At 49.0% G+C, this 25,419-nt stretch overlaps 1 protein-coding gene and 1 long non-coding RNA gene across 9 annotated transcripts in view, besides 8 other annotated features; both read left to right on the top strand.

The window, feature by feature from the left end:
• Positions 8,295-8,900: an enhancer, noted in NCBI's record as "H3K27ac-H3K4me1 hESC enhancer chr7:66118787-66119392 (GRCh37/hg19 assembly coordinates)". NCBI's record gives its function as "activates a minimal SCP1, AML or CMV promoter by ChIP-STARR-seq in naive H9 embryonic stem cells {active_cell/tissue: H9 hESC(naive)}" and the evidence as "EXISTENCE:reporter gene assay evidence [ECO:0000049][PMID:30033119]".
• Positions 8,901-9,506: an enhancer, noted in NCBI's record as "H3K27ac hESC enhancer chr7:66119393-66119998 (GRCh37/hg19 assembly coordinates)". NCBI's record gives its function as "activates a minimal SCP1, AML or CMV promoter by ChIP-STARR-seq in naive and primed H9 embryonic stem cells {active_cell/tissue: H9 hESC(naive and primed)}" and the evidence as "EXISTENCE:reporter gene assay evidence [ECO:0000049][PMID:30033119]".
• On the top strand, positions 9,014-24,097 carry LOC100996437 (uncharacterized). Its single transcript, NR_110037.1, has 4 exons — positions 9,014-9,121; positions 21,893-22,105; positions 23,259-23,408; positions 23,725-24,097. It is a non-coding gene; the product is annotated as an uncharacterized LOC100996437 (long non-coding RNA).
• Positions 9,043-9,112: a silencer, noted in NCBI's record as "silent region_18211". NCBI's record gives its function as "represses an Ori minimal core promoter by ATAC-STARR-seq in GM12878 lymphoblastoid cells {active_cell/tissue: GM12878}" and the evidence as "EXISTENCE:reporter gene assay evidence [ECO:0000049][PMID:35858748]".
• Positions 9,062-25,419, top strand: part of RABGEF1 (RAB guanine nucleotide exchange factor 1) — a 156,898-nt gene continuing 140,540 nt past the window's right edge. For all 8 annotated transcript variants that reach the window (NM_001367727.1, NM_001367725.1, NM_001367726.1 and 5 more), the window contains exon 1: positions 9,062-9,121. The gene's annotated coding sequence lies outside the window, so the exon portion shown is untranslated. The remainder of the gene's footprint in view (positions 9,122-25,419) is intronic.
• Positions 9,123-9,372: a silencer, noted in NCBI's record as "silent region_18212". NCBI's record gives its function as "represses an Ori minimal core promoter by ATAC-STARR-seq in GM12878 lymphoblastoid cells {active_cell/tissue: GM12878}" and the evidence as "EXISTENCE:reporter gene assay evidence [ECO:0000049][PMID:35858748]".
• Positions 9,507-10,112: an enhancer, noted in NCBI's record as "H3K27ac hESC enhancer chr7:66119999-66120604 (GRCh37/hg19 assembly coordinates)". NCBI's record gives its function as "activates a minimal SCP1, AML or CMV promoter by ChIP-STARR-seq in primed H9 embryonic stem cells {active_cell/tissue: H9 hESC(primed)}" and the evidence as "EXISTENCE:reporter gene assay evidence [ECO:0000049][PMID:30033119]".
• Positions 17,484-17,684: a silencer, noted in NCBI's record as "peak6548 fragment used in MPRA reporter construct". NCBI's record gives its function as "represses an SCP1 promoter by STARR-seq MPRAs in K562 erythroleukemia cells {active_cell/tissue: K562}" and the evidence as "EXISTENCE:reporter gene assay evidence [ECO:0000049][PMID:32103011]".
• Positions 20,591-21,331: an enhancer, noted in NCBI's record as "H3K4me1 hESC enhancer chr7:66131083-66131823 (GRCh37/hg19 assembly coordinates)". NCBI's record gives its function as "activates a minimal SCP1, AML or CMV promoter by ChIP-STARR-seq in naive H9 embryonic stem cells {active_cell/tissue: H9 hESC(naive)}" and the evidence as "EXISTENCE:reporter gene assay evidence [ECO:0000049][PMID:30033119]".
• Positions 21,332-22,071: an enhancer, noted in NCBI's record as "H3K4me1 hESC enhancer chr7:66131824-66132563 (GRCh37/hg19 assembly coordinates)". NCBI's record gives its function as "activates a minimal SCP1, AML or CMV promoter by ChIP-STARR-seq in naive H9 embryonic stem cells {active_cell/tissue: H9 hESC(naive)}" and the evidence as "EXISTENCE:reporter gene assay evidence [ECO:0000049][PMID:30033119]".

Genomic DNA, 25,419 nt, shown 5'->3' on the forward strand with positions numbered 1-25,419 from the left:
CTGGTCTCAAACTCCTGACCTCAGGTGATGTACCCGCCTTGGCCTCCCAAAGTGCTGGGAGTACAGGCATGAGCCACCACCACACCGAGCCTAGTAGTTTTTGTTTTGAGAAAGAATAGTTAGGTGCTTTTCTTTTCCCTTCCCCAGTCATGTCTACAGTGATCTTATTAGCTGTGAACTTAGGTACCTCATTTTTTCTCAGATGAATACCTGCTTCTAAAATCTAAATGCAAAGTAAGAGTGACAGTATTACTATAAAATTCATAGATGTTCATTATCTAGGTATATTCAAAGGACAGAATTTTATGTCTTCTTCCAAAGTGTACCCCTGACCCTCCACCACACCACACACACACACACACATGAAATAATAAACAGAGCAGCCTTAGGAAGAGGGCAGTTCAATTCCTGGACTGCAAAGGACTTCTTCTCTCACACACTTGTTTTTCCTGAGGAATGACATGATCTGGAAATCCTAGGTATCCCCCTTCTCCAACCACTTGACACCAGGTGGACACAGAGCTGTTGTACACCAGGAGAAGATCCAGTCAACTGTGGGAAAGACTGAACCATGAACCATCCAGAAATACTCCGTAACAGGGGCCTGTCATCAGATTATGATGTACCTTTTCTAGCCACCTCTGGCCTCTATGTCAACCTTATTCACACCTCAACAAACCATGACTTCTGAGGATTCTCTTTTTTTTTTTTTTTTTTTTTTTTTGAGACGGAGTCTCATTCTGCTGCCCAGGCTAGAATGCAGTGGTGCAGTCTCAGCTGACTGCAACCCCCGCATCCCGGGTTCAAGCAATTCCCTGCCTCAGCCTCCCAAGTAGCTGGGATTACAGGTGCTCGCTACCACACCCGGATAATTTTTGTATTTTTAGTAGAGATGGAGTTTCACCATCTTGGCCAGGCTAGTCTTGAACTCCTGACCTTGTGATCCACCCACCTCAGCCTCCCAAAGTGCTGGGATTACAGGCGTGACCCATCGCACTTGGCCAGGATTCTCTTAATGTAATACAGACCCTCATTTCTTCCCCGTATCATATGATCCTGGCAGATGGCCCAGCCCCAGTAGATTTTTGGAATGGAGGTATCCATACTTTTCTCAGTCATTATTAAAATCAAGAAATAGAATCACATAGCAACACAAAACTTGGAGCTTGACCCTCATTAAAAGAAACTTACAGGTTCAGAGTCCAGTTGAAGAAATCTTTGTATCTCCAGTATTTTTGTAAAGAGGTCAGGGTGGTATCATGAGTAGGCTTAAGTCCCTACAGTCTTTGTGAACTTTTATAAATGCCTTGGGTATCCAGTTTCTCAACATAGCATCTTCATCACCAACTGTACCTCAGCTGACTGCCCCAAGGGCCCACCCGTGTGTGCACACGTTGCAGGTGTTTACTGTCCCTCTCACCATGTCCTCCTCCACCTCTCCCCTCTGTTTGTAACTGTCCTGTCTTTGATATTTAAAAGCTAGTTGGCCACTTCTGGCCATGCCTTATCTGGTACCTGTTAGCCAACCATGACAGTGATGCCATACCCAGGACTGTCTGCTTCTTGTTCTCAGGCAGGTAGGTGCTCTCAGCACTGATGTCTCTTGCTTTCCAAGTCAGCTTTTACATCTGGCCTGCTAGGAACTGGAGAGCATTTTCAGTCTTCATAGCAGCAGCATAGGATCCTGCAGGCTCTGTATCCACCTAAGTTAAGGTAAGGTGGATACACATCCTGGAAACTCTGTATCTACCTCCACAACAGCTGCAGAGGATGCCTGCAGGATCACACTGAGCAGACACACTAGTTTCATCACACTAGTTTCATCTTCTGCACCAGAAAGGAAGAATCTATTTTGCCTGGCCAGGCATGGTGGTTCACACCTGTAATCCTATAGCACTTTGAGAGGCAGAGGCAAGAGGATTGCCTGAGGCCAGGAGTCCAGGACCAGCCTGGGTGACATAGCAAGATCCTATGTCCAAAAAAACAAAATTCAAAAACATAAGCCAGGCAGGGTGGTGTGCACCTGCAGTCCCAGATACTTGGGAGCCTGAGGTGGGAGGTTCACTTGAGCCCATGAGGTTGAGGTTGCAATGAGCCGTGATTGCACTACTGCAGTCCAGCCTCAGTGACAGAACAAGACCCTGTCTCTAAAATAAAAAGTAAAATAAATAAATATTTTGCTTGGAAACCGAGTTCACCATGAGTTTCTTAACAAAAATATGAACTTAACTAATGAGCTGACCACATCGCTATTAGATGAAATGAGGGTGGCATTATTTACTCAGCACTCCCAGGAGTCAAGGCAGAATGTAATTGCTTCCAGACATATTCAGGGGATATTCCACCCAATTATCTAATTTTATTCTTCAAAGGCGGCTGTATTTGGAAACTCCCATTGGTCCAGAGAGACAGAACAATGAGAAGAAATCCCCTGTCCAGTTGCCTGCAGGAGTATTCCAACACTTCATGGGCTAGAGGATTCCATTGAGATGGGGTTTACGTCTTGATTTTGAACACCTGTCAGCACTGTTCTCTGTTTGCATGGCAATTCTGACCCTTTTATGGCAACAACACCCCTGGGACAACCCAGATTTGTAGATTGAGATCCAAAGGTAGAATTTCCAGACAGTCCAACCAAGGTATCAAGTGATGTTTCCAGAGTGGAAGGCTCTCACCGTGTCCCAGGATTTCTGGGGTTTGTAAGCAGTACTGGCCATTTGTGACCCTGTTTTTTACCTAATCATTCTGTCTTTTTAGGACATGGTTTTACCCGATCCCTGGCAAAGGATCCAGAATTCCAATAGCTGAAAACCCTGTTATAGCTTTTCTCCTATTCTGCCTTACCCAAGACACACTTGAACCCCTCAGTAAGGCTATAGAGAGGGCCATGAGCAGGGGCAGCCTCTCCCTTGTTTCTACAGCTCCATGATGAGGGGTTGACTGAGGCCAGCAATCCTTGTAGGTGTGACAGTTGCAATATAATTAACAGTTTCAAGATCTAGAGGTACCTTTTGAAAGAACCCCTTCAGGGATATCTATCCACAGTAGCCTGGAGCAGCCAAGGTGAACCTGAGATTTTGACCCACACAATAAGGGGGGGCCATTCTTTTTCAAATATTTTGGCTTCAGAATACACTTCATTACACATGCAAATATTGAGAGATTAACAGAAATTCCAGCTCTTATGCCTAACTGAGAAGAGCCACTGCAAGTTGCAGTTAGGTACCCATGTGCAGCAGAGGCCAGCTGAATCCCAGAGCTTCCCAAAGTGGACACCAGCGGGGACTATTCCTGATGTCCCACCCAAGAGAGGAAGATGAGCTGAGGCGCTGTTGCTCTGCCCAAATGCATCCCATGTGCATTCACGTGTCACCCATTCAAAATAACATGGCATTCTTGGAACCTTGTATCTGACATGTAAGACCAGCCTACACATTGGGGTGGGTGCAGGGGCTCACACTTGTAATCCTAGCACTTTGGAAGGCTGAGGTGGGCAGATTGCTTGAGCACAGGAGTTCCAGACCAGCCTGAGCAACATGGCGAAATCCTGTCTCTTCAAGAAATAATAATAATAATAATAATTGGCTGGGTGTGGTGGTACATGCCTGTAGTCCCAGCTACTCAGGAGGCTGAGGTGGGAGGATTGCCTGTGCCCAGGAGGTCGAGGCTGCAGTGAGTTGTAATAAGGCCACTGCACTCCAGCCTGGGCAACAGAGTGAGACCCAGTCTCAAAAAAAAAAAAGTCTACACCGTCATTGGTCATTGTCTCCTTGGGTCATCTGGCCTGTATTGTATTTAGGATCATTTGTATTAGGAGATAGAAATCACAGAGTAATTTGAATAACTTATACCTTTAATTAGAGAAGTGAGGGATCAGCAAATAAAGATAACTATAAAGAAATAGGCAGGTCAAGAAAGGGGCTGGAGTAAACTGGTGACATTTTGGGCTAGCCATTGTGGGAGTGAGAGAGAGGAAACTGCATGAGGACAAACAGAGTAACTGCCAAGCAGCACTGAGGACCTGGATGAAGTGAGAAAACCAGCTCTGATGAGTTGTAGTAACTCAGATCAGATCAGCTTTTCATTTGTCTCACAAGGCTCAGCGATCAGCATGAGAGAGCGAGAAAGCCAGATAGCTGGGGGGTCCTGGCAAGATGACGAGTAGAGGCAGTGCTCAAGCAGTGAGCATCAAAGGATGGGGCTAACCTGCAGGAGTGTGGTTGGAATGATGGGACCTGGATGAAGTAAAGAAGAAATAAGACGGGCCAGTTTCTGGACTCAGCAACTGGGAAAGGTGTACAGGTCCAAAGCCTGATAGGGTCTGAAAGCAAGCTTATGACACAAGGGTGTTGAGGGAGTGAGATGATGGTCATCAGATGCGGATTCTACAAGACTGGATTTTGGATGGGATCAACTCTATCTAACTCTATGAGGGGAGGTGGCAGTTAGAACCCAGAAGGTGAGAATATCAAATGGGCCATTGTTAGCTGGGCGTGATGGTGTGTACCTGTAATCCCAGCTACTTAGGAGACTGAGGCAGGAGAATTGCTTGAACCCAGGGGGTGGAGGTTGCAGTGAGCCGAGATCACGCCACTGCACTCTAACCTGGGCAACAGAGCTAGACTTTGTCTCAAAAAACAAACAAAACAAAACAAAACAAAATCAAATGGGCCATTGTCATGGATGTCCAGCATGGAGACCCACTATGTGCCAAGTGCCCACAAACTATTGGATTTGAGGAGCAACCTGGAGGTCAGTGGGTGACCAAAATGAGGAAGGGAATGGCTGGACCACACCACTGTTGGCTAGAAATGGCCGAGGAGTAATTGTGAACTTTATAGTGAACTTGAGTCCAAGCTGCTATTTAACTGTCCAAAAAATGAACAAGCATCATGAGCTGAAATAGAATGTAAAGAAAAATAAGAGGCAGAAATCAGACTTTTATTTCTTCTAGTTTAGGCTCCAAAGCTTGAGAGAAGTAATACAGAGGGCTTGATTTTTAGAAAACCTTAGAAATGATTAAATAGGTCAGGCGCGGTGGCTCCGGCCTGTAATCCCAGCACTTTGGGAGGCTGAGGTGGGCGGATCAAGAGGTCAGGAGTTCAAGAGCAGCCTGGCCAACATGGTGAAACTCCATCTTTACTAAAAATACAAAAATTAGCCGGGCATGGTGGCACATGCCTGTAATCCCAGCTACTCGGGAGGCTGACGCAGGAGAATCGCTTGAACCCAGGAGGCAGAGCCTGCACAACTGCATTCCAGCCTGGTGATACAGCAAGACTCCATCTCCAAAAAAAAAAAATAATAATAATAATAATAATGCTTAAATAGATATGATCATATTCAGAGCTAAATTTAACCAGAATCTAACATTGTTTTCCAGATGAAGAGTTTGAGAAAGCCGACTAACTAGCCCAGTTGAGTCCCTAGGCTAGTGGGTAGCAGAGTGGGGACGTGTCTGTGTCCCGAGCCTCGGCATGTCCCTGTGCTGAAGCCCAGGGCCTGGTTCTGCACTGTCAGGTTACCCAGATCCAGTTACAGAAAAGAAGCCAAAACAACTTGCGGAAAATAAGTCTACAGAAAAGATAAATAATAGTACTCTAATGAATGAACAGACTTGTGACATCTCTTCCCTGGGGACAGAACAGGAGGATACAGGTTTATATCCCAGCAATAGGGATTCTACATTACAAGGAAAGTTTCTAACTGGGAGATATGAGATGAGCTACACAAGAAGAAGCCAAAACATTTGCACTCGTGCTGCCTTTTTATTTTTTTGAGATGGGAGTTTCACTCTTGTCACCCAGGCTGGAGTGCAATGGCGCAATCTCAGCTCACCGCAACCTCTGCCTCCCGTGTTCAAGCGATTCTCCTCTCTCAGCCTCCTGAATAGCTGGGATTACAGGTGTGCACTACCATGCCCAGCTAATTTTTGTATTTTTAGTAGAGATGGGGTTTCACCATTTGGCCAGAGCTGGTCTCGAACTCCTGACCTCAGGTGATCCATCCACCTCGGCCTCCCAAAGTGCTGGGATTACAGGCATGAGCCACCCGCCCTGGTGCTGGATTTTTGCTTAGTCCTATCATTTTCTGAGTCCCGAGAGTTTTCATATTTGGATGAGTGACCAGTCTCAAAGTCATTTAAGTCCTGCCTAACCTCCAGGACTGTCTGGCATCTTCCTTCTCTTCTTCCTTCCCAGGTGGCTTCACCCTCACAGTCCCTTATGGTGTCAACTTGGTGCCATCTTACCAGGTTCTCCCTAGGCTCCCAAACCCTCGCTCCTGCCTGCTTATTCTATATCACCATGTTATTTATTTTTTAAGTAACTATGATTATGTTATAGGCTTAATTGTGATCCCCACCAAATTTATATGTTGAAGTCCTAACTCCAATACCTCAGAATGTGACTGTATTTAGGAATAGGGTCTCTAAAGAGGTGAGTTAAGATGATGCCATTAGGGTGGGCCCTAGTCCAATTCGACTGGTGACTTTATAAAAAGAGGAAATTTGGACACACACACAGACACCAAGAATGCATGTTCACAGAGAAAAGGCCATGTGAGGACACAGTGAAAAGGTGACCATTTATAAGCCAAGGAGAGAGGCCTCAGGAGAAACCAAACCTGCCAATTCTGTGATCTGATTTTGGATTTCTTTTGGTTTTTCATGCCTGAGTTTTGTATTTTTTGTAGAGACGGGGTTTTGCCATGTTGGCCAGGCCAGTCTGGAACTCCTGACCTCAGGTGATCCATCTGCCTTGGCCTTCCAAGGTGCTGAGATTACGGGTGTGAGCCACTGCGCCCAGCCCTTAACTTGGATTTCTAGACTCCATAACCAAGAGAAATAAATTTCTGTTGTTTAAGCACCACCCCCCCACCCAAAAAAAAAGAGAAGAAGAATATAGGCCATGAGCGGTGGCATGTGCCTGCAGTCCAAGCTACTCAGGCAGTTGAGGTGGTAGGATCACCTGAGCCCAGGAGAGATTGGTAGAATGATTTAATGAAAAGGTGGATGACAGAGCCTTGGGAAATGTAAAAAAAATAAGTAAAATAAAATACAACATGATCCATCCATATACTGTCTATAAGAGACTCACTTTAGATACAAAGAAACAAAGAGATTGAAAACAAAAGAATGAAAAAATAAATTCCATGCAAAAAGTAACCAAATGAGGCTGGGCTTGGTGGCTCATGCCTGGGATGCTGAGACAGGTGGATCACCTGAGGTCAGGAGTTTGAGACCAGCCTGACAACATGGAGGAACCCCGTCTGTACTAAAAATACAAAATTGGCGGGGCGCAGTGGCTCACGCCTGTAATCCCACCACTTTGGGAGGCCGAGGCGGGCGGATCACAAGGTCAGGAGATCGAGACCATCCTGGCTAACACGGTGAAACCCCGTCTCTACTAAAAATACAAAAATTAGCCAGGCGTGGTGGCGGGCACCTGTAATCCTAACACTTTGGGACGCCAAGGGGGGCGGATCAGTTGAGGTCAGAATTCGAAACCAGCCTGGCCATCACGGTGAAACCCTGTCTCGATTAAAAATACAAGAAAATTAGCTGGGCGTGGTGGTGGGCGCCTGCAATTCCAGCTACTTGGGAGGCTGAGGTGGGAGAATCCCTTCAACCTAGGAGGCAATGATCCGAGATCGCACCACTGCACTCTAGTATGGGCCACAAAGCGAGACTCCCCCACCAAAAAAAGACAAAAATTAGGCAACCTGTCCAAAAACACAGCAGCGATAATTAGCAAAGCTGGGATTCCAACCCAGGCCTATCTCACAGCCACAGCATAGTATTTTCTTTTTTTTCTTGCTGTGACTGCACCTTACGCCATAGATGGCATCCAGGACGCAGAGCAGTCAGTATTTAGGTACTGTTTTTCACATTCCTTACATGGGAATCACGTCAACAGGATTCAATTTGTGACTCAACCATTAATACTTTGTGACACTGGCTAATTTATTGCACTTCTGGGTCTCGGTTATGCTTTTTGTGGGGGGAGGGGAGGGCAGGGTCTCGCTCTGCTCTGTCACCGGAGCTGGAGTTTAGTGGAGGGATCTCTGCAGCCTCAACTTCCTGGGCTATCAAGCGATCCTTCCACCGCAGCCTCCCCAGTAGCTGGGACCACAGGTGCGCGCCATCATGCCTGGGTGATTTGTAAAATTTGTTTGTTTATTTTAAACAGAGTCTCGCTCTGTCGCCCAGGCTGGAGTGCAGTGGTGCGATCTGGGCTCACTGCAAGCTCCGCGTCCCAGGTTCACGCCATTCTCCTGCTTCAGCCTCCCGAGTAGCTGGGACTACCGGCGCCCGCCACCACGCCCAGCTAATTTTTTGTATTTTTTAGAAAAGACGGGGTCCCTGTGTTAGCCAGGATGGTCTCGATTTCCTGACCTCGTGATCCGCCCGCCTCGGCCTTCCAGAGTGCTGAGATTACAGGCGTGAGCCACCGCGCCCAGCAAGTAAAATTTCTTTTGTAGAGACAGTGATCTTGCTTTGTGGCCCAGGCTGGTCTCGAACTCCTGGCCTCAAGGAATCCTCCTGCGTGGGTCTTCTAAAGATTCAGCTGCTTTTGGATCAACCGATCGCCTTAAGACCCTTTAACTCGAACAACTGTCACATCCTCGGATCCGCGAAGGGCTGAAACTCAAAGAGTTTTTGAAGCGTCCCTCGGCGCAGTGGCTCCGCTCCACCTCCCATTCGCGCTACCACCGCGGTCGCAGCGCCAGGATCGCCAGGGGGCCAGCGTCGCTCTCCCGCTGCTGCGCGCCGGAAGCCGGAAGCAGGGACTGAGCCACAGACTAGGAAAGGCAGGCTTCTCCGGGGCTCCCCAGTGCCCTAGCTTTAGCCTGGAGGCCGCCCTCTTCTATTTGCTCTTAGACGTCACGGGGGCACCCCAGTCCCCTCGACCCTTTGGATCCGGCTCACATTTCCTCCGGTGAAGAGCCAAAGGCCCCGGAAGTGACGTTTGCACGGCTTGCGTATCGTGCGTGCGCAGGCCGCGCCGGGGGCGGGGCTAGCAGGAGGGTGTGTGTGGGGCGGGAGCGGACAACGGAGACCAGACCTACTGCAGCCACGCGGGCGAGCGGCTGTGTGGATGTCGGCGAAGCCGCGGGCGAGGTACGGAACGGACGGACTGGTGTAAGAGCGTCGCGGCTCTCAGCTACGGGAGCGGGGCGGCCGGGCGTCTCGGGCCGTGGGCGGCGGGGCGGTCGGTCCGTGCCCTCCGCGCGGCTGGGGCAGTTGCGCGTCGGTGCCTCCCGCTGTCCTTCGTCCCACATTCCAGCCCCGTCAGCTCCGCCTTCCCAGTTCCAGGCCGCCCTCGGCTCCCTTAATCCTCACAGTGCGCGGCTTCTCCGTCTAACGTGCTCGTTGCCGGCATCTCCAGCGCCCGGACAAGCCCTTGAAGGCCTGACGCGGAGCATTTCCCGGCCGCCTCCCTCTTCGGCGGCTCCCCTCGTCCCGGCTCTCACTTCCCCGTCCAGGACGCTGGCTCCGAAGCAACATTTGTGGTCGCGCGGGGCCCCTCCCATGACCTCTCTGGAACGCGCCTAGCTGGGACGCTCGGACCCAGACCACAGCTCTTGGCCGCGACAGGGGCGCCGGGACTTGATCCCCCGTCGCCCTGGGGGGACAGAAGCGTCCCGGAGTTGGGAGGGGATTTGAAGCCTGTGGTCCTGACTTCCACCCCGTGGCTGAGGGCGAGGCTGCAGGGCTGGGGTTAGGAGCAGAAGTCCCTACTTCCGAACCGTCTGGGAGGAGAGCCGAGAGATGTCCATCACGGCAGTTTAGGGAGAGAGAGGGAGGGACTCTGCCGCTTTGGAGGCTAGGTCATAGGCAGCTGGCGGTGTCTCAGCGCGGGTGACCAGTCCTTGCGGTTGGGAAATGTGTCGTGGGCGCCCGTGGACTCGTTTTGCCTTTGAGATTAAATAGGAAATTTTCCCAGGACGAGTTTACCGGAGCACCTTGGGAGTTGGTTTTTGGCTTGGAGAGCTACTTTCCCCCCCTAAACCTAGAACTGCTTTGTTTTTCTTTATTATATTTTTTGAGATGGGATCTCACAATGTTACCCATGCAGGTGTCAAACTCCTGGCCTTAAGCGATCCTCCCGCCTCGGCCTCCCAGAGTGCTGGGATTATAGGCGTCAGCTATCGCGCAGCTTTAACTGCTGTTAAAGAGTCCGTTCCTTAAAATTGTTGTACCAAGAAACTTGCCAGAGATGCAAGAAAATGTGATTATATTGTTAATATTTAATGATAAATAACATTTTGCTTTTAAGAGTTACTGATTCATATCTGCAGGATTAAGAAATGTTCAGGATTTGAATTTTTAATGACCTTCCAAGCAGTCATGTTTCTACTCTCTAGAAGTTAGCCAGTTGAGGAGAAGGGACAGTCAAGATACTTTCAAAACAGTGTGGTAAGGAGTGTGAGCTAAGATGGAGCACCGAGGAGGGAGTCGGGCATTTAGGCCGTGCTGTCGGGCGTGGAGCCTGGAAGGGATCGGGGAATACTTTCTGCATGTGTCTTGAAGAATGAGTAACATTCAGACTAACAGGGTGGAATGAGGGGAATCAAAGGAGAGGAGGCCAGTAACTACAAGGAGGTGCTTATTTATTTATTTATTGAGAGAGAGGGTCTCACTTTGTCACCCAGGCTGGAGTACAGTGACACGATCACGAGTCACTGAAGTCTCAACTGCCTGTGCTCAAGGGATCCTCCCACCTCAGCCTCCCAAGTTGCTGAGACTGCAGATGCGTGCCACCACACCCAGCTGATTTTTAAATATTTTGTAAAGATGGAGTCTTGGTGTGTTGCCCAGGCTGGTCTCAAACTCCTGGACTCAAGCAATCCTCCCGCCTCAAGTCTCCCAATGTGCTGAAATTACAGGCATCAGCTACTGAGCCTGGAGGGTCGTTATTAAAGTGAAAAAGTGCAGGACAGAGATCTAGAAGCTTAGGCTTTAATCTGATGGTGACAGAACCAGGGAAGGGTTTTTAGCTGGGTCCCTGTGTGGTTAAAATGGGTCTCTCTGGCTGGGCGTGGTGGCTCATGCCTGTAATCCCAGCACTTTGGGAGGCCGAGGCGGTCGGATCATGTGGTCAGGAGTTTGAGACCAGCCTGAGCAACATGGTGAAACCGTGTCTCTACTAAAAACAGAAAAATTAGCCGGCTGTGATGGCACCTGCTTGTAATCCCAGTTACTCAGGAGGCTGAGGCAGGAGAATTGCTTGAACCCGAGAGACAGAGGTTGTGGGGAGTCAAGATCACGCCATTGCACTCCAGCCTGGGCAACAAGAGTGAAACTGCATCTCAAAAAAAAAAAAAAAAAAAAAGTAACCAAATGAGACCAGGAGTGGCCACATGTTAGGCACAATAGGTTTTAAGCCAAGAATGGTTATGAGAGACAAGGGAATTCTATACTGATAAAAAGTTTAATCCAACAAGAAAATATAATAATTTAAAACATATGTGCCTAACAACAGAGCATCAAAACATATGAAGTAAAAAAGGATAGAATTAAAGGGAGAAATAGAGTTTCAGGATGATCATTGGAGACCTCACTACCTCAATGTTAATAATACAGAGACCAGATCAATAGGAAAGAGAGCACTTGAACAACATGATAATCCAATTAGATCTAATGGTCATATGCAGACACCAACCCAACAACAGCAAAATACACATTCTTTTCAAGAGCGTGTGGGATATTGTCCAGAGTATACAGTGTATTAGGCTGCAAAACAAATATTAATGTTTTAAAAGTTTGAAAGTATGCAAAATACTAAGTATTTTCTAATCACGATGGAATGAAACTAGAAATCAGTAACAAGGAAAACTTGAAAACTCACAAATATATGGAAAATAAACACACTCTTGATCACTGGTTGGAGATGAAATCATACAGGAAATTAGAAAACACTTTGAGATGAATGAAAATGAAAACACAACATACCAGAACTTATGGGATGAAGTTAAAGCAGCGTTCAGAGGGAAATGTTTAGCTGTAAGCATCTACCTTTAAAAATAAGAAAGCCAGCAGTGGTGGCTCATGCCAACATCCCAGTATTTTGGGAGGCTGAAGCGGGAGGATCCCCTGAGGTCAGGAGTTCAAGACCAGTCTAACCAACATGGCAAAAGCCCATCGCTACTAAAAATACAAAAATTAGCCAGGCATGGTGATGCAGGCCTGTAATCCCAGCTACTTGGGAGGCTGGGGCAGGAGAATCGCTTGAACCTGGGAGAGGGAGGTTGCAGTGAGCCGAGATAGCACCACTGCATTCCAGCCTGGGTGACAGAGTGAGACTCTATCTCAAAAAAAATCAATAAAAATAAAAAATAAAAGTAAGAAAGATCTCAAATTAGTCACCTCACTATACCCTCTAAAGGATCTAGAAAAAGAAGAGCTAACCCCAACCTAGCAGAATACCAGAAACAAAGATTAGAGTGGAAATAAATAAAGGAAATTAAGAGAATAGATAAAATTAAAAGTTTTTTTTACAGTTCAGCAAAATTGACAAATTTTTAGCTAGATTGACTAAGAAACACAAGAAGACTCAAATATCCAAAATCAGAAATGAAAATGAGGCCGTTACTGTGACTTTACAACAATTAAGGTTATCGTAAGAGAATACTATAAACATATGTACACCAGCAAATTGAATAACCAAATGAAATGGCAAATCTCTAGAAACACAAACCTACCAAGACTGAATCACAAAGAAATAAAAAATATGGGTAAACCAACCAGGTGCAGTGGCTCGTGCCTGTAATCCCAGCACTTTGGGAGGCCAAGGTAGGCGGATCACCTGAGATCAGGAGTTCAAGACCAGCCTGGCCAACATGGTGAAACCCCTTCTCTACTAAAAATACAAAAATGAGCTGGGTGTGGTGGCAGGCGCCTGTAATCACAGCAACTCAGGAGGCTGAGGCAGGAGAATCACTTGAACTGGGAGGCGGAAGTTGCAGTGAGCTGAGATCGCACCATTGTGCTCCAGCCTGGGGGACAAGAGTGAGACTTCGTCTCCAAAAAAAAAAAAAAAAAAGAAAAAGAAAATATGGGTAAACGTATAACTAGTAAGAAGATTAAATTACCAATAAAATCTTCCCAACACAGAAATACCCTTGACTGGATGGCTCCACCAGTGAATTCTACCAGACATTTAAAGGAAAAATTAGTGCCAATCCTTTGCAAACTCTTTCAAAAACTTGAAGAGGAGGAAATACTTTCTTTTTTTTGTTTGTTTTGAGACAGAGTCTCGCTCTGTCGCCCACGCTAGAGTGCAGTGGCGCGATCTTGGCTCACTGCAAGCTCTGGCTCCCGGGTTCACGCCATTCTCCTGCCTCAGCCTCCCGAGTAGCTGGGACTACAGGCGCCCACCACAACGCCCGGCTAATTTTTTGTATTTTTAGCGGAGACGGGGTTTCACTGTGTTAGCCAGGATGATCTCTATCTCCTGACCTCATGATCCGCCTGCCTTGGCCTTCCAAAATGCTGGGATTACAGGCATGAGCCACCCGGTGCCCGGCCGAGAAGGAAACACTAACTCATTCTATGAGGACAGCATTGCCTTGTTACTAGGGCCAGACAAAGACAGTACAAGAAAACAACTGACCAATATTGCTTATGAACATTGATTAAAAAATTCTCAAGAAGACACTGCCTGCTGGGTGTGGTGGCTCACGCCTGTAATCCCAGCACTTTGGGAGGCCAAGGTGGGTGGATCACAAGGTCAGGAGTTTGAGACCAGCCTGGTCAAGATGGTGAAACTCTGTCTCTACTAAAAATAAAGAAAATTAGCTAGGCATGGTGGTGGGTGCCTGTAACCCCAGCTGCTTGGGAGGCTGTGGCAGGGGAATCGCTTGAACACGGGAGGCGGAGGTGGCTGTGAGCCGACATTGCGCCACTGCGCTCCAGCCTGGGCAACAGAGTGAGACTCCATCTCAAAAAAAAAAAAAGAAAAAAGAAAAAAAAGAAAACACTGCCCAACTGGCTGGCCGCAGTGGCTCAGGCGGGTAATCCCAGCACTTTGGGAGGCCAAGGCAGGTGGATCACTTGAGTTCAAGAGTTCAAGACCAGCCTGGGGAACGTAGTGAAACCCCACCTCTACCTAAAATACAAAAATCAGCTGGTTGTGGTGTTACCCTCCTGTGGTTCCAGCTACTTGGGAGGCTGAGGTGGGAGGATCACTGGAACCAGGAAGTTGAGGCTGCAGTGAGCCGAGATTGCACCACTGCATACCAGCCTGCACGACAGAGTGAGACTCCATCTCAAAAAAAATAAATAAATAAAAATAAAAAATAAAAGAAAGATCTCAAATCAGTCACCTAACTATACACTTTAAAGGACCTACAAAAAGAAGAACTAAACCCAAGCTAGCAGAATAGGGGAAACAAAGATTAGAGTGGAAATAAATAAAGAAAAGGAAAAGAAGAGAATAGATAAAATTAAAAGTTTTTTTACAGGTCAGCAAAATTGACAAATTTTTAGCTAGATTGACTAAGAAAAAAAAAAAGAAGACTCAAATATCCAAAATCAGAAATGAAAATGAGGGCATTAAGCTGGGCACAGTGGCTCACGCCTGTAATCCCAGCACTTTGGGAGGCCAAGGCCGGCGGATCACGAGGTCAGGAGATCGAGACCATCCTGGCTAACACGGTGAAACCCCATCTCTACTAAAAATAGAAAAAAATCAGCCGGGTGTGGTGGCGGGCGCCTGTAGTCCTAGCTACTCAGGAGGCTGAGGCAGGAGAATGGTGTAAACCCGTGAGGCTGAGCTTGCAGTCAGCCAAGATTGTGCCACTACACTCCAGCCTGGGTGACAAAGCGAGACTCCATCTCAAAAAAAAAAAAAAGAAAGAAAAAAGAAAATGAGCACATTACTGTGATTTTACAGCAATTAAAGTGATTATAAGATAATACCACAAACATAGGTACACCAGCAAATTGAATAACCAAATGAAATGGCAAATCTCTAGAAACACAAAGCCTACCAAGACTGAATCACAAACAAAGAAAAAATATGGGTAAACCAGCTGGGCATGGTGGCTCCCGCCTGTAATCCCAGCACTTTCGGAGTGCACTCCATTGCACTCCAGCCTGGGGGACAAGAGCGAGACTTCTCAAAAAAATAGAAAGTAGGGGTAAACCTATAACTAGTAAGAACATTAAATTACTAATTAAAATCCTTTCAACAAAGAAATACCCCTGACTGGATGGTTTTACCAGTCAGTTCTACCAGACATTTAACGAAAATTAATGCCAATCCTTTGCAAACTCTTTCAAAAACTTGAAGAGGAGGAAATACTTTCTAACTCATTCTATGAGGCCAGCATTGCCTTGATGCTAGGGTCAGACAAAGACACTACAAGAAAACAACTGACCAATATTGCTTATGAACATTGGTTAAAAAATTCTTAGGAAAACAGTGCCAAACTGGTTGGGCACAGTGGCTCATGCTGGTAATCCCAGCACTTTGGGAGATTAAGGCAGGTGGATCACTTGAGCTCAAGTTCAAGACCAGCTGGGCGTGGTGGCCCATGCCTGTAACCCCAGCACTTTGGGAGGCCAAGGCGGGTGGATCATGAGGTCAGGAGATCGAGACCACAGTGAAACCCCGTCTCTACTAAAAAATACAAAAAAATTAGCCAGGCGCAGTGGCGGGCACCTGTAGTCCCAGCTACTCAGGAGGCTGAGGCAGGAGAATGGCGTAAACCCAGGAGGCTGAGCTTGCAGTCAGCCGAGATCGTGCCACTGCACTCCAGCCTGGGTGACAAAGTGAGACTCCATCTCAAAAAAAAAAAAAAAAAAATGAGGGCGTTACTGTGACTTTACAGCAATTAAAGTGATTATAAGATAATACTATAAACATAGGTACACTAGCAAATTGAATAACCAAATGAAATGGCAAATCTCTAGAAACACAAAGCCTACCAAGACTGAATCACAAATAAAGAAAAAATATCGGCAAACCAGCTGGGCATGGTGGCTCCCAGCTGTAATCCCAGCACTTTTGGAGTGCACTGCATTGCACTCCAGCCTGGGGGCCAAGAGCGAGTCTTCTCAAAAAAAAAGAAAGTAGGGGTAAACCTATAACTAGTAAGAACATTAAATTACTAATTAAAATCCTTTCAACAAAGAAATACCCCTGACTGGATGGTTTTACCAGTCAATTCTACCAGACATTTAACGAAAATTAATGCCAGTCCTTTGCAAACTCTTTCAAAAACTTGAAGAGGAGGAAATACTTTCTAACTCATTCTATGAGGCCAGCATTGCCTTGATGCTAGGGCCAGACAAAGGCACTACATGAAAACAACTGACCAATATTACTTATGAACATTGGTTAAAAAATTCTTAAGAAAACACTGCCAAACTGACTGGGCACAGTGGCTCATGCTGGTAATCCCAGCACTTTGGGAGGTTAAGGCAGGTGGATCACTTGAGCTCAAGTTCAAGACCAGCTGGGCGTGGTGGCCCACGCCTGTAATCTCAGCACTTTGGGAGGCCGAGGCGGGTGGATCACGAGGTCAGGAGATTGAGACCACGGTGAAACCCCGTCTCTACTAAAAAGTATAAAAAAATTAGCCGGGCACGGTGGCAGACACCTGTAGTCCCAGCTACTCAGGAGGCTGAGGCAGGAGAATGGCATGAACCCGGGAGGGGCAGTTTGCAGTGAGCCAAGATCGTACCACTGCACTCCTGCCTGGGTGACAGAGCGAGACTCCGTCTCAAAAAAAAAAAAAAAAAATTGAGTTCAAGACCAGCCTGTGCAACATAGCGAAACCCCATCTCTACCTAAAATACAAAAATTAGCTGGGTGTGGTGTTACACACCTGTGGTTCCAGCTACTTGGGAGGCTGAGGTGAAAGGATCTGGGAAGTTGAGGCTGCAGTGAGACTGGGGTGATCAGGCTGGATAATCCTCTCTCCCTGTTCCCCTCATTTGGCTGCTCCAGACCCTGAGAAACTTCTACCTGTCCCATGCCAGCTGAGGGTGTCTGAGGAGCTGACATCAACCCCATGGATCTCCTGAACTGTGCTGGAAGGTAGAGACAGGCAGGGAGGCTTCCCAATGGGTCAGGAGAACCTGACCCCACAAATCAACTGATCTTCAAGAGACAGGATGGAGGGAGGGATCATTCTAGAGAACCCTGCTCCTTGTTCCTCCCTGTGGCAAAATCTGGCGCCAGGAAGAGTTTGAGTGTGTAGGCGTGTGTGTGCAGGTGTAAGTGTGCAGGCACGTGTGTGCAGGTGTGTATGTACAGCCGTGTGTGCACGCATGTGTGTGCAGGTGTATGTGTGTAGGTGTGCGTGTGCAGGCATGTGTGTGTAGGTGTGCATCTGCAGGTGTGTATGTACAGACGTGTGTACAGGCATGTGTGTGCAGGTGTGCATGTGCAAGGTGTGTGTTTGCAGGCATGCATGTGCAGGTGTGCGTGTGCAGGCATGTGTGTGCAGGTGTGTATGTTCATAATGGCCCTAACGCCCAAGCTGGAAAGTTGTGGATTTACGGGAATGAGGGCAAGAAACACCTGGCCCGCCCAGGGCGGAAAACCGCTTAAAGGCATTCTTAAGCCACAAATAATAACATGAGCGCTCTGTGTCTTAAGGGCGTGTTCCTGCTGCAGTTAACTAACCCAACCTATTCCTTTAATTCAGCCCATCCCTTCGTTTCCCATAAGGGATACTTTTAGTTAGTTGAATATCTCTAGAAACAATGCTAATGACTGGTTTGCTGTTAATAAATATGTGGGTAAATCTCTGTTTGGGGCTCTCAGCTCTGAAGGCTGTGAGATCCCTGATTTCCCACTTCACGCCTCTATATTTTTGTGTGTGTGTCTTTAATTCCTATAGTGCCGCTGGGTTAGGGTCTCCCCAACCATGCTGGTCTCAGCACTGGTCTCTACTGAAAATACCATAATTGGCTGGGCGTGGTGGTGGGCGCCTGTAATCCCAGCCACTTGGGAGGCTGAGGCAGGAGAATCACTTGAACCTGGGAGGTGGAGGTTGAAGTGAGCTGAGATCACGCCACTGCACTCCAGCCTGGCGACAGAGCAAAACTCCTTCTCACAAAAAAATAAAACTAGTGTGGGGGAGGGGGGAGGGATAGCATTGGGAGATATACCTAATGCTAGATGACAAGTTAGTGGGTGCAGCGCACCAGCATGGCACATGTATACATATGTAACTAACCTGCACATTGTGCACATATACCCTAAAACTTAAAGTATAATAATAAATAAATAAAAATAAAAAAATAAAAATAAATAAAACTAGTGTGAATCGCTGGGCATGGTGGCTCACGCCTGTAATCCCAGCACTTTGGGAGGCCAAGGTGAGTGGATCACCTAAGGGCAGGACTTCAAAACCAGCCTGGGCAACAATGTGAAACCTCATCTCTACTAAAACTACAAAAATTAGCCAGGCATGGTGGTGTGCACCTGTAGTCCCAGCTACTTGGGAAGCTGAGGTGGGAGAATTGCTTGAACCCGGGAGGTGGAGGTTGCAGTGAGCCAAGATTGTGCTACTGCACTCGAGCCTGGGTGACAGTGAGACTTCGTCTCAAAAAGAAAAAAAAAAAAAAAAAAGCTAACATGAAATGCTGCAGCAGTTTTGAGTAAAATAAGGAGTGAAAAGAGTTCACAAGATTGATCCACAGAAAGGTCATCGGTGAACCTGAAGAGTTTTGGTGGAATGGGGTGACAGAAACCAGGTTGGAGGACATGAAGGAGGAAAGTAGTAAGTGAAATGTGTAAACAGTGAACACAGGCAACTCTTAAAATTACTTTGGGCCAGGCGCAGTGACTGACACCTGTAATCCCAGCACTTTGGGAGGCCGAGGCGGGCAGATTACTTGAGGTCAGGAGTTCAAGACCAGCCTGGACAATATAGCAAGACCTCATCTCTACAGAAGTTTTTTGTTTTTTTTTTTTTAATTAGTCAAGGGTAGTGGAGTGCCCCTGTAGTCCCAGCTACTCAGGAGGCTGAGGTGGGAGGATTAGCCTCAAACTCCTTGAGCCCAGGAGGTTGAGGCTGCAGTGAGCCATGATTGTGCCACTACACTGCAGCCCGGGCAACAGAACGAGACCGTGTCTCTTAAATTTAAATTAAAATAGAGAGTGGCTCCCTACAGATGGCAACTGCAGCCCCCGCCTCCCCCTGAGCCAGGGCTTTGGGCCCATCTGGCTCCCCTCTGGAGGCCGGCCCATCACGCAGCCAGTGCTGACAGATTGGGTGTCTCCGGTGCGCCGGCGGCTGCCGCTTAAGTAGCTTCCTGTCAGGGAGTCAGGGGTCACCTCATCCCCGCTCTGTTCAAAACAGTACTGACCTCTTCGGGGTGCCTCCCACGCCTGTCTACTGCACGAGCATGTGTTTAGTGTCAACTCTGCGATCCAGACCCTGCCTGGTGACTCTTGGGGGAGCAGCTTCAGGAGCCCGTGGCCCCCACGGCAGGTGGCTTCTAGGCCAGAGGGGCAGGGTTCCTGCGCTCATGAGCTGGCGAGTCTCGCCATGTGCATCCACTGTATGCCACACAGACAGGGACCATGTATGTCCCGAGTGCCGGCTTCTTGGTTCCACTGTCTAGAGTCAGGCCCCTGGCTCTGGGCCTCGGCTCTGGGCAAGTCCTTGTTCTCAGAATTCTTGTTTTTTTTTTTAACTAGAATCTCACTGTGTCACCCAGACTGGAGTGTAGTGGTGCAATCTCGGCTAACTGCAACCTCAACCTCCCAGGCTCAAGCAATCCTCTCACCTCAGCCTCCCTAGTAGCTGGGACTACAGGTGCACACCACTATGCCGTGCTAATTTTTTTTTTTTTGTAGAGGTGGGGTCTCCCTATGTTGCCCAAGCTGATTTCAAACTCCTGTACTCAAGCGATCTTCTCACCTTGGCTTCCCAAAGTACTGGGATGACAGACGTGAGCCACTGCACCTGGCCTAGAATTTTTCTTAACTTCAAGCAGTGTGTCCTGCTGGGGGATGGGATGAGCTAGAAACTGTGGTCCCATGGGGTCAGCAAGGTTTGGAAATGATCACAGGGGTTCCCAGGCCAACCTCACCACCTCTGAGCTGAGTGACCCTGGGCGAGTCAGTTCCCTTCCCTGGGACTCAGTCTTCTCCTTTGAAGAAAGGGTACAAGAGAATCTAGAACATCGTAGGACTTCGGCAAATGTCGGTCCCTTTCCCCCACACTCCAAAGGTGACGTTCCCTGAGACATCTTAGTCTGGGCAAGTGTGTTGTTGTAGCTTGGGGGGTGGCCTGGTCCCTTGGCCTGTCCTGCTCAGCCAGCAGCCCTTGGCTGGCTCAGTATGGGAGGTTCAGACACGGTCTCAGTTCTTGACAAGCTCCTAGCCAGAGGAAAGGCGATTTCATTCCGGTGTGATGAGCACTAGTAGAAGAGATGTTAGAACGGAGGGACTGCACGGACCAGGTGGAGGTCAAGGAAGGCTTCTTGGAGGTGACATAGGAGCTGGCCTGCGAGGCTGAGTGGGAATATTTTGGGTGGAAAGACCACGGAACAAGCATTTCCGACAGAGGAAGCAGCTATTGAAGAGGGAAGGTGGTTGTGTGCTGGGGAAACCTATGTGGTTCTCCATGGTCATAACAGGATGCCTGGGGCGTGGGGGGCAGAATGTCAGCCGGCAAAGTGGGGACCGGAGTACCCGGGAAGCTGGGATGAAGGAGCCTCCTCTGCAGGTAGGGACAGGGCCCTCTGAAGCCGGGGAGGGGACGGGGAAATGGGGAAGGGACCACAGTGGAGTCTCTCCAGTTGTGCTTAGAGACCACCTGCCTTCATATCACCCGAGGAGTCCCAAAATGCAGATTCCAGGGCCTGGGGCTCCACCATCCCAGCTCTGTTGGTTGCAAAAAACCTGGGAGGGAAGAGAGACAGCCCCCTCTTAGCCTAGTCAGGGCCTGGTGCAGTTTGGGGACTGTTTGCTGAGGGCAACTGAGGCCGAAGTGAGCCAGGCGGGCCCTAGGGTGCCCACCGCACACCCCCTCTGTGCCAGGCTCCCAGCTCAGGGTATTGGTGGGCACTCCAGTGATGTTTCCTGGCAGGGAGAGGGCTCGTTTCTTGCCTCCTTCTGAGGCAAGTAGGGGCAGATGTTGAGCCTCTGGGGTCCCTGGCCCAAGGCTGCAGGTCCTGGCTGCTCACAGCCGGCGGGTGGAGCCCTGTCTGGCCAACACCCTTGCTCTTTATCTATGTCTCAGCAAGGGAAGGTACCCAGGTTAGTGTCCAGCTGGGTGGGCGTCCAGGCTTTGGCAGCAGTGCCAGCCTCCCATCCGGCCCTGGAGATGGTCCCCTGAGTTCCAGGGCTCCTTGGAGAGGTCAGGATGGGCAGAAATTTGCAGGGGCAGGGAGCTGGCACTGGGGTTGGGGAAGCCTTGGGCAGACACAGCCTCTCCACCACAGTAGGGAGCTGGCCTCAGGCAGCAAGGCACTGCAGGTGCCCCAGAGACACAGGCTGAACCCCAGACCAGTTGAGCCAGGGTGGGAAATCATATGTCCACTCCAGACAGCCCTGGGGCTCTGAATTTGCATTTGGGAGCATGCAATTGTCTCCTCCAAGGCTCTGGTGGAGGGGATTTGAAATAATCCCAGCCCAGGGAGGGTGGAGCATAGGGACAGGGCCCAGAGAGGGTCCAAGGGCACCACAGGAGGTTTGCCACCTGAGCCCGGGGATCAGGAAGGGCTTGGCCAGTGCTGAGCACCCTTAGTGCCTGGCACGGGCTGAGACTCAGGGGCCGGCCATGCCTCTCCTGAAGCAGTCCCTGTTGGTGGGCAGGCAGGTGGGGTGGGCTGGGGGCTGTGCACAGCCACTCATATCTTCCCCGTTACTTCATCCATTTTGTTCCCGCTGATCCCTTGTTTATCTCACTGGGAATGCAGCCTCGGTGGAAGATGGGGCCAAGGGAAAGTCCAGAGCCTGGGCCATCTCCAGCCTCACTCACCCTCCTCCCTCACCTGGTCCCTGGGCTGAGGATCATGGCCCGGCCTGAGAACCCCCAAGGCAGCATGCAGAGGCCGGGTCTGCACCGAGCCCTGACACTGACAGGCTGTGTGACGACGACTGACAACTAACCCTCTCTGGTTTTACTTTCTGTAAGTGACTTGGGAGGTTGTTCTGAATGACCTTTGAAAGGGATGAAAAATTGGTATTAATAAGCCTGTCATTTCATAAGCATCTACTCTGTGTCCAGCCCTGTGCAGGTCCCTGGAGTCTCCTCTCACCGAATGCTCCCACGTCCCCAAGAAGTTCCATTATCCCATTTTACTTATTTATTTATTTGTTTATTTATTTATGTTTGAGATGGAGTCTTGCTCTGTCGCCCAGGCTGGAGTGCAATGGTGCAATCTCGGCTCACTGCAACCTCTACCTCCCGGGTTCAAGTGATTCTCCTGCATCAGCCTCCCTAGTAGCTGGAATTATAGGCACATGCCACCACGCCTGGCTGATTTTTGTATTTTTAGTAGAGACAGGGTTTCACCATGTTGGGAAGGCTGGTCTCGAACTTCTGACCTCAGGTGATCTACCGGCCTTGGCCTCCCAAATTGCTAGGATTACAGGTGTCAGCCACCGCGCCTGGCCCCATTTTACTTATTTTTAGAGACAGGGTTTTGCTCTGTCACCCAAGCTGGAGTACAGTGGTGCAAATATAGCTCACTGCAACCTTGAACTCCTGGACTCAAGTAATCCTCCTGCCTCAGCCTACCGAGTAGCTGGGACCATACACCACCATGCCCGGCTAATTGTTTAATTTTTTTGTTTTTAGAAATGGGGTCTGGCTATGTTGCCCAGGCTGATCTCGAACTCCTGGCCTCTAGCCATCCTTCTACCTCAGCCTCCGAAAGCGTTGGGATTACAGCCGTGAGCCACCATGCCCAGCCCCACTATCCTATTTTAGACATGAGACTGAGAGAATGGCCGGGAGTCCCTCCAGCTGGCATCTTGCAACTTGAATTGCTGAGGTTTCAGGTGCAGGGGTGTCCCCAGATGGTTGTGGAGATGGAGACCAGGTTGGAGAAGACCCTCTGGAGAGGGGGGGATTGGCATAGGAAGTGAGGGCTATTGTGGGCCGGGGGTGAAAGCCCAGCAGGGCCAGTGTGGGAGAACGTCACTTAGGAAGCTACCAGAAAGATATGCCAGACTCCTGCCAGGCCTTGTCACTGCAGAGCCCCTGGCAAGAGAGGGACATTTGTGGACCCTGGAGGCTTGCGTGGGATGGGCCTTAATCCCCACTTTCTTCCCTGGAAGATCACCTCTTAGGCAGAGCAGTGGGCGCAGATGCCATGGCGGGAAGCAGGCCTTTCTGAATTCTTAGCAGCGATCTCCAGGGGCACTCTAACCTTGCAAGAAAGAGGCTGCCAGTCTTGCATCAGATGCAGAAACCAGGGCGCAGAGTAGGTGAGTAATCTGCTTAGAGCCACACAGCTGTGAGTAGCAGATCCAAGTGCAACCTGCCTGTCCCAGGAGCTTGCGGGCTAGCTAGACCTTTGCTGCCTAGAAGACCCTCTTGTGAGTCCCCTCCCTGGGCTCAGCAACCCGGGAGGGCATGACTTCTGGCTGGGTCTTAGGGCTGGAGCCTTGGTGTCCTCTTGTCTTCTTTCCTTGTGTGACTTGGTTTTCCAGTCTGTGAAATGCGGTGGGTGCATCCAACTCCAAGCCTGTCTCTGCCCTGGGTCCTGGAGCCTGGAGGACGAATGAGGTCATGTTTTTCTAGGAGCTAGAGCATCTTGGATGGAGAAACCTCGGCAAAGACAAAGGCCCATTGTCCCCCTTCCCCGGCCTTCTGCCAGCTCCCTCCCCAGTCACCAGAGGAGGCCAGCCCTGCCCACCCCACAGCCCCCAGAGGCTGCCAGGCGCCAATATGGGGTAACTCAGCGCCCCCTCCCTTGCCATTGGTTGACGATGCCTGGAATCCCACCATCAGAGCTTTGTTAAGGTTGCTGTGGGATGGGTGGCAGGGAGGCAGCAAAAGACAAGAAGGTGGTGGGGACCTCTGGCTTGTGGATTTCATAATCAGACCTTTATGGTGGGCTTGGGTAGGAGATCAGGCAATACTAAATAATAATAAAAACAAATTTCACACTTGCTTTTCAGTAGCTTTGGCATGAAACCTTTATAAGCATTATCTCAATGAGGCCCACAGAGCTCTGTCAGTCATTAGCCAGGCAGGACAAATAACAGCTTGAACATAATGCGTCCAAAAGTCAACTCTTGGTTCCTTCCCCAGCCTGCCCCTCCTGTGACTTCCCCGTCTCGGGAAATGGCACCATCATCATCTACCTGGTGGCTCCGGCCAGAAAACAGGGAGGCATCTTTGGATCATCTCACCCTCACCACCCACACCCGGGCCACCACCAAGACTCTTCAATTCTACCTCCAAAATAAATCCCTACCCCACTTCCCTCTGTTCTCGTTGCCACCCCTGTGTCAAGCCATCACCAGCTTGGCCCTGGAGGCCAGCACAGCCTCCTTCCCGCCTCCCTGCCTCCTCTCTACCCCCAACAGCCAGAATAACTTGCAGAAAATGTAAATCAGGCCCCATCTCATTCTCCTTCTTAAACCGCCCCTTTCCCCAAGGGCTTCCTATTGCATTTGCACCAAAATCGACACCCCCCAAATAGCTCTGAGGTTCACCATGACCTGGTGCTGCCTCACCTCCTCCAATTTCACTGTCCCCTAGTTCTTTTCCCCTGGAATCTGTGTGTTTGCATAAGCTGTTCCCTTTGCCTGGATGCTCTTCCCTGCAATTCTTTCCCCACTGGTCCCTTCTCATACTTTAGGTCTCAGCTGGGAGCTTACTTAAACTTTTTTGTTTGAGATGGAGTCTCATGCTGTCACCCAGGCTGGGTGACATAGTACCTAGAAGAGGAGATGACATATTGATGGAATTTAATAAATGGGCTTATTGAATGAGATGATTTTTTTTTTTTTTTTTTTTTTTTTTTTTTTGGCTAGAGGACACAAAGACAGCCAGAGAAATTCCAAATAACACACACTGGCTGGATGAAATTGCTTCAGTGATAGATATTTAAACAATTTTTATTTTTAGCTGGGCGCGGTGGCTCACACCTGTAATCCAAGCACTTTGGGAGGCCAAGGCGGGTGGATCTCTTGAGGCCAGGGGTTCAAGACCAGCTCACTACAGCATGATGAAACCCCATCTCTACTAAAAATACAAAAGTTAGCTGGGTGTGGTGGCTCGCGCCTGTAATCCCAGCTACTCAGGAAGCTGAGATAGGAGAATCGCTTGAACCCGGGAAGCAGAGGTTGCAGTGAGCCGAGATGGCGCCACTACACTCCAGCCTGGGTGATAGAGCAAGATTCCGTCTCAAAAAACAAAACAAAATTTTATTTTTATTTATTTAATACACATACGTATACACACACACACACACACACACACACACAC

This window comes from Homo sapiens, chromosome 7 (assembly GCF_000001405.40).
Source record: "Homo sapiens chromosome 7, GRCh38.p14 Primary Assembly".
In the NCBI taxonomy this organism is placed as follows: Eukaryota; Metazoa; Chordata; class Mammalia; order Primates; family Hominidae; genus Homo; species Homo sapiens.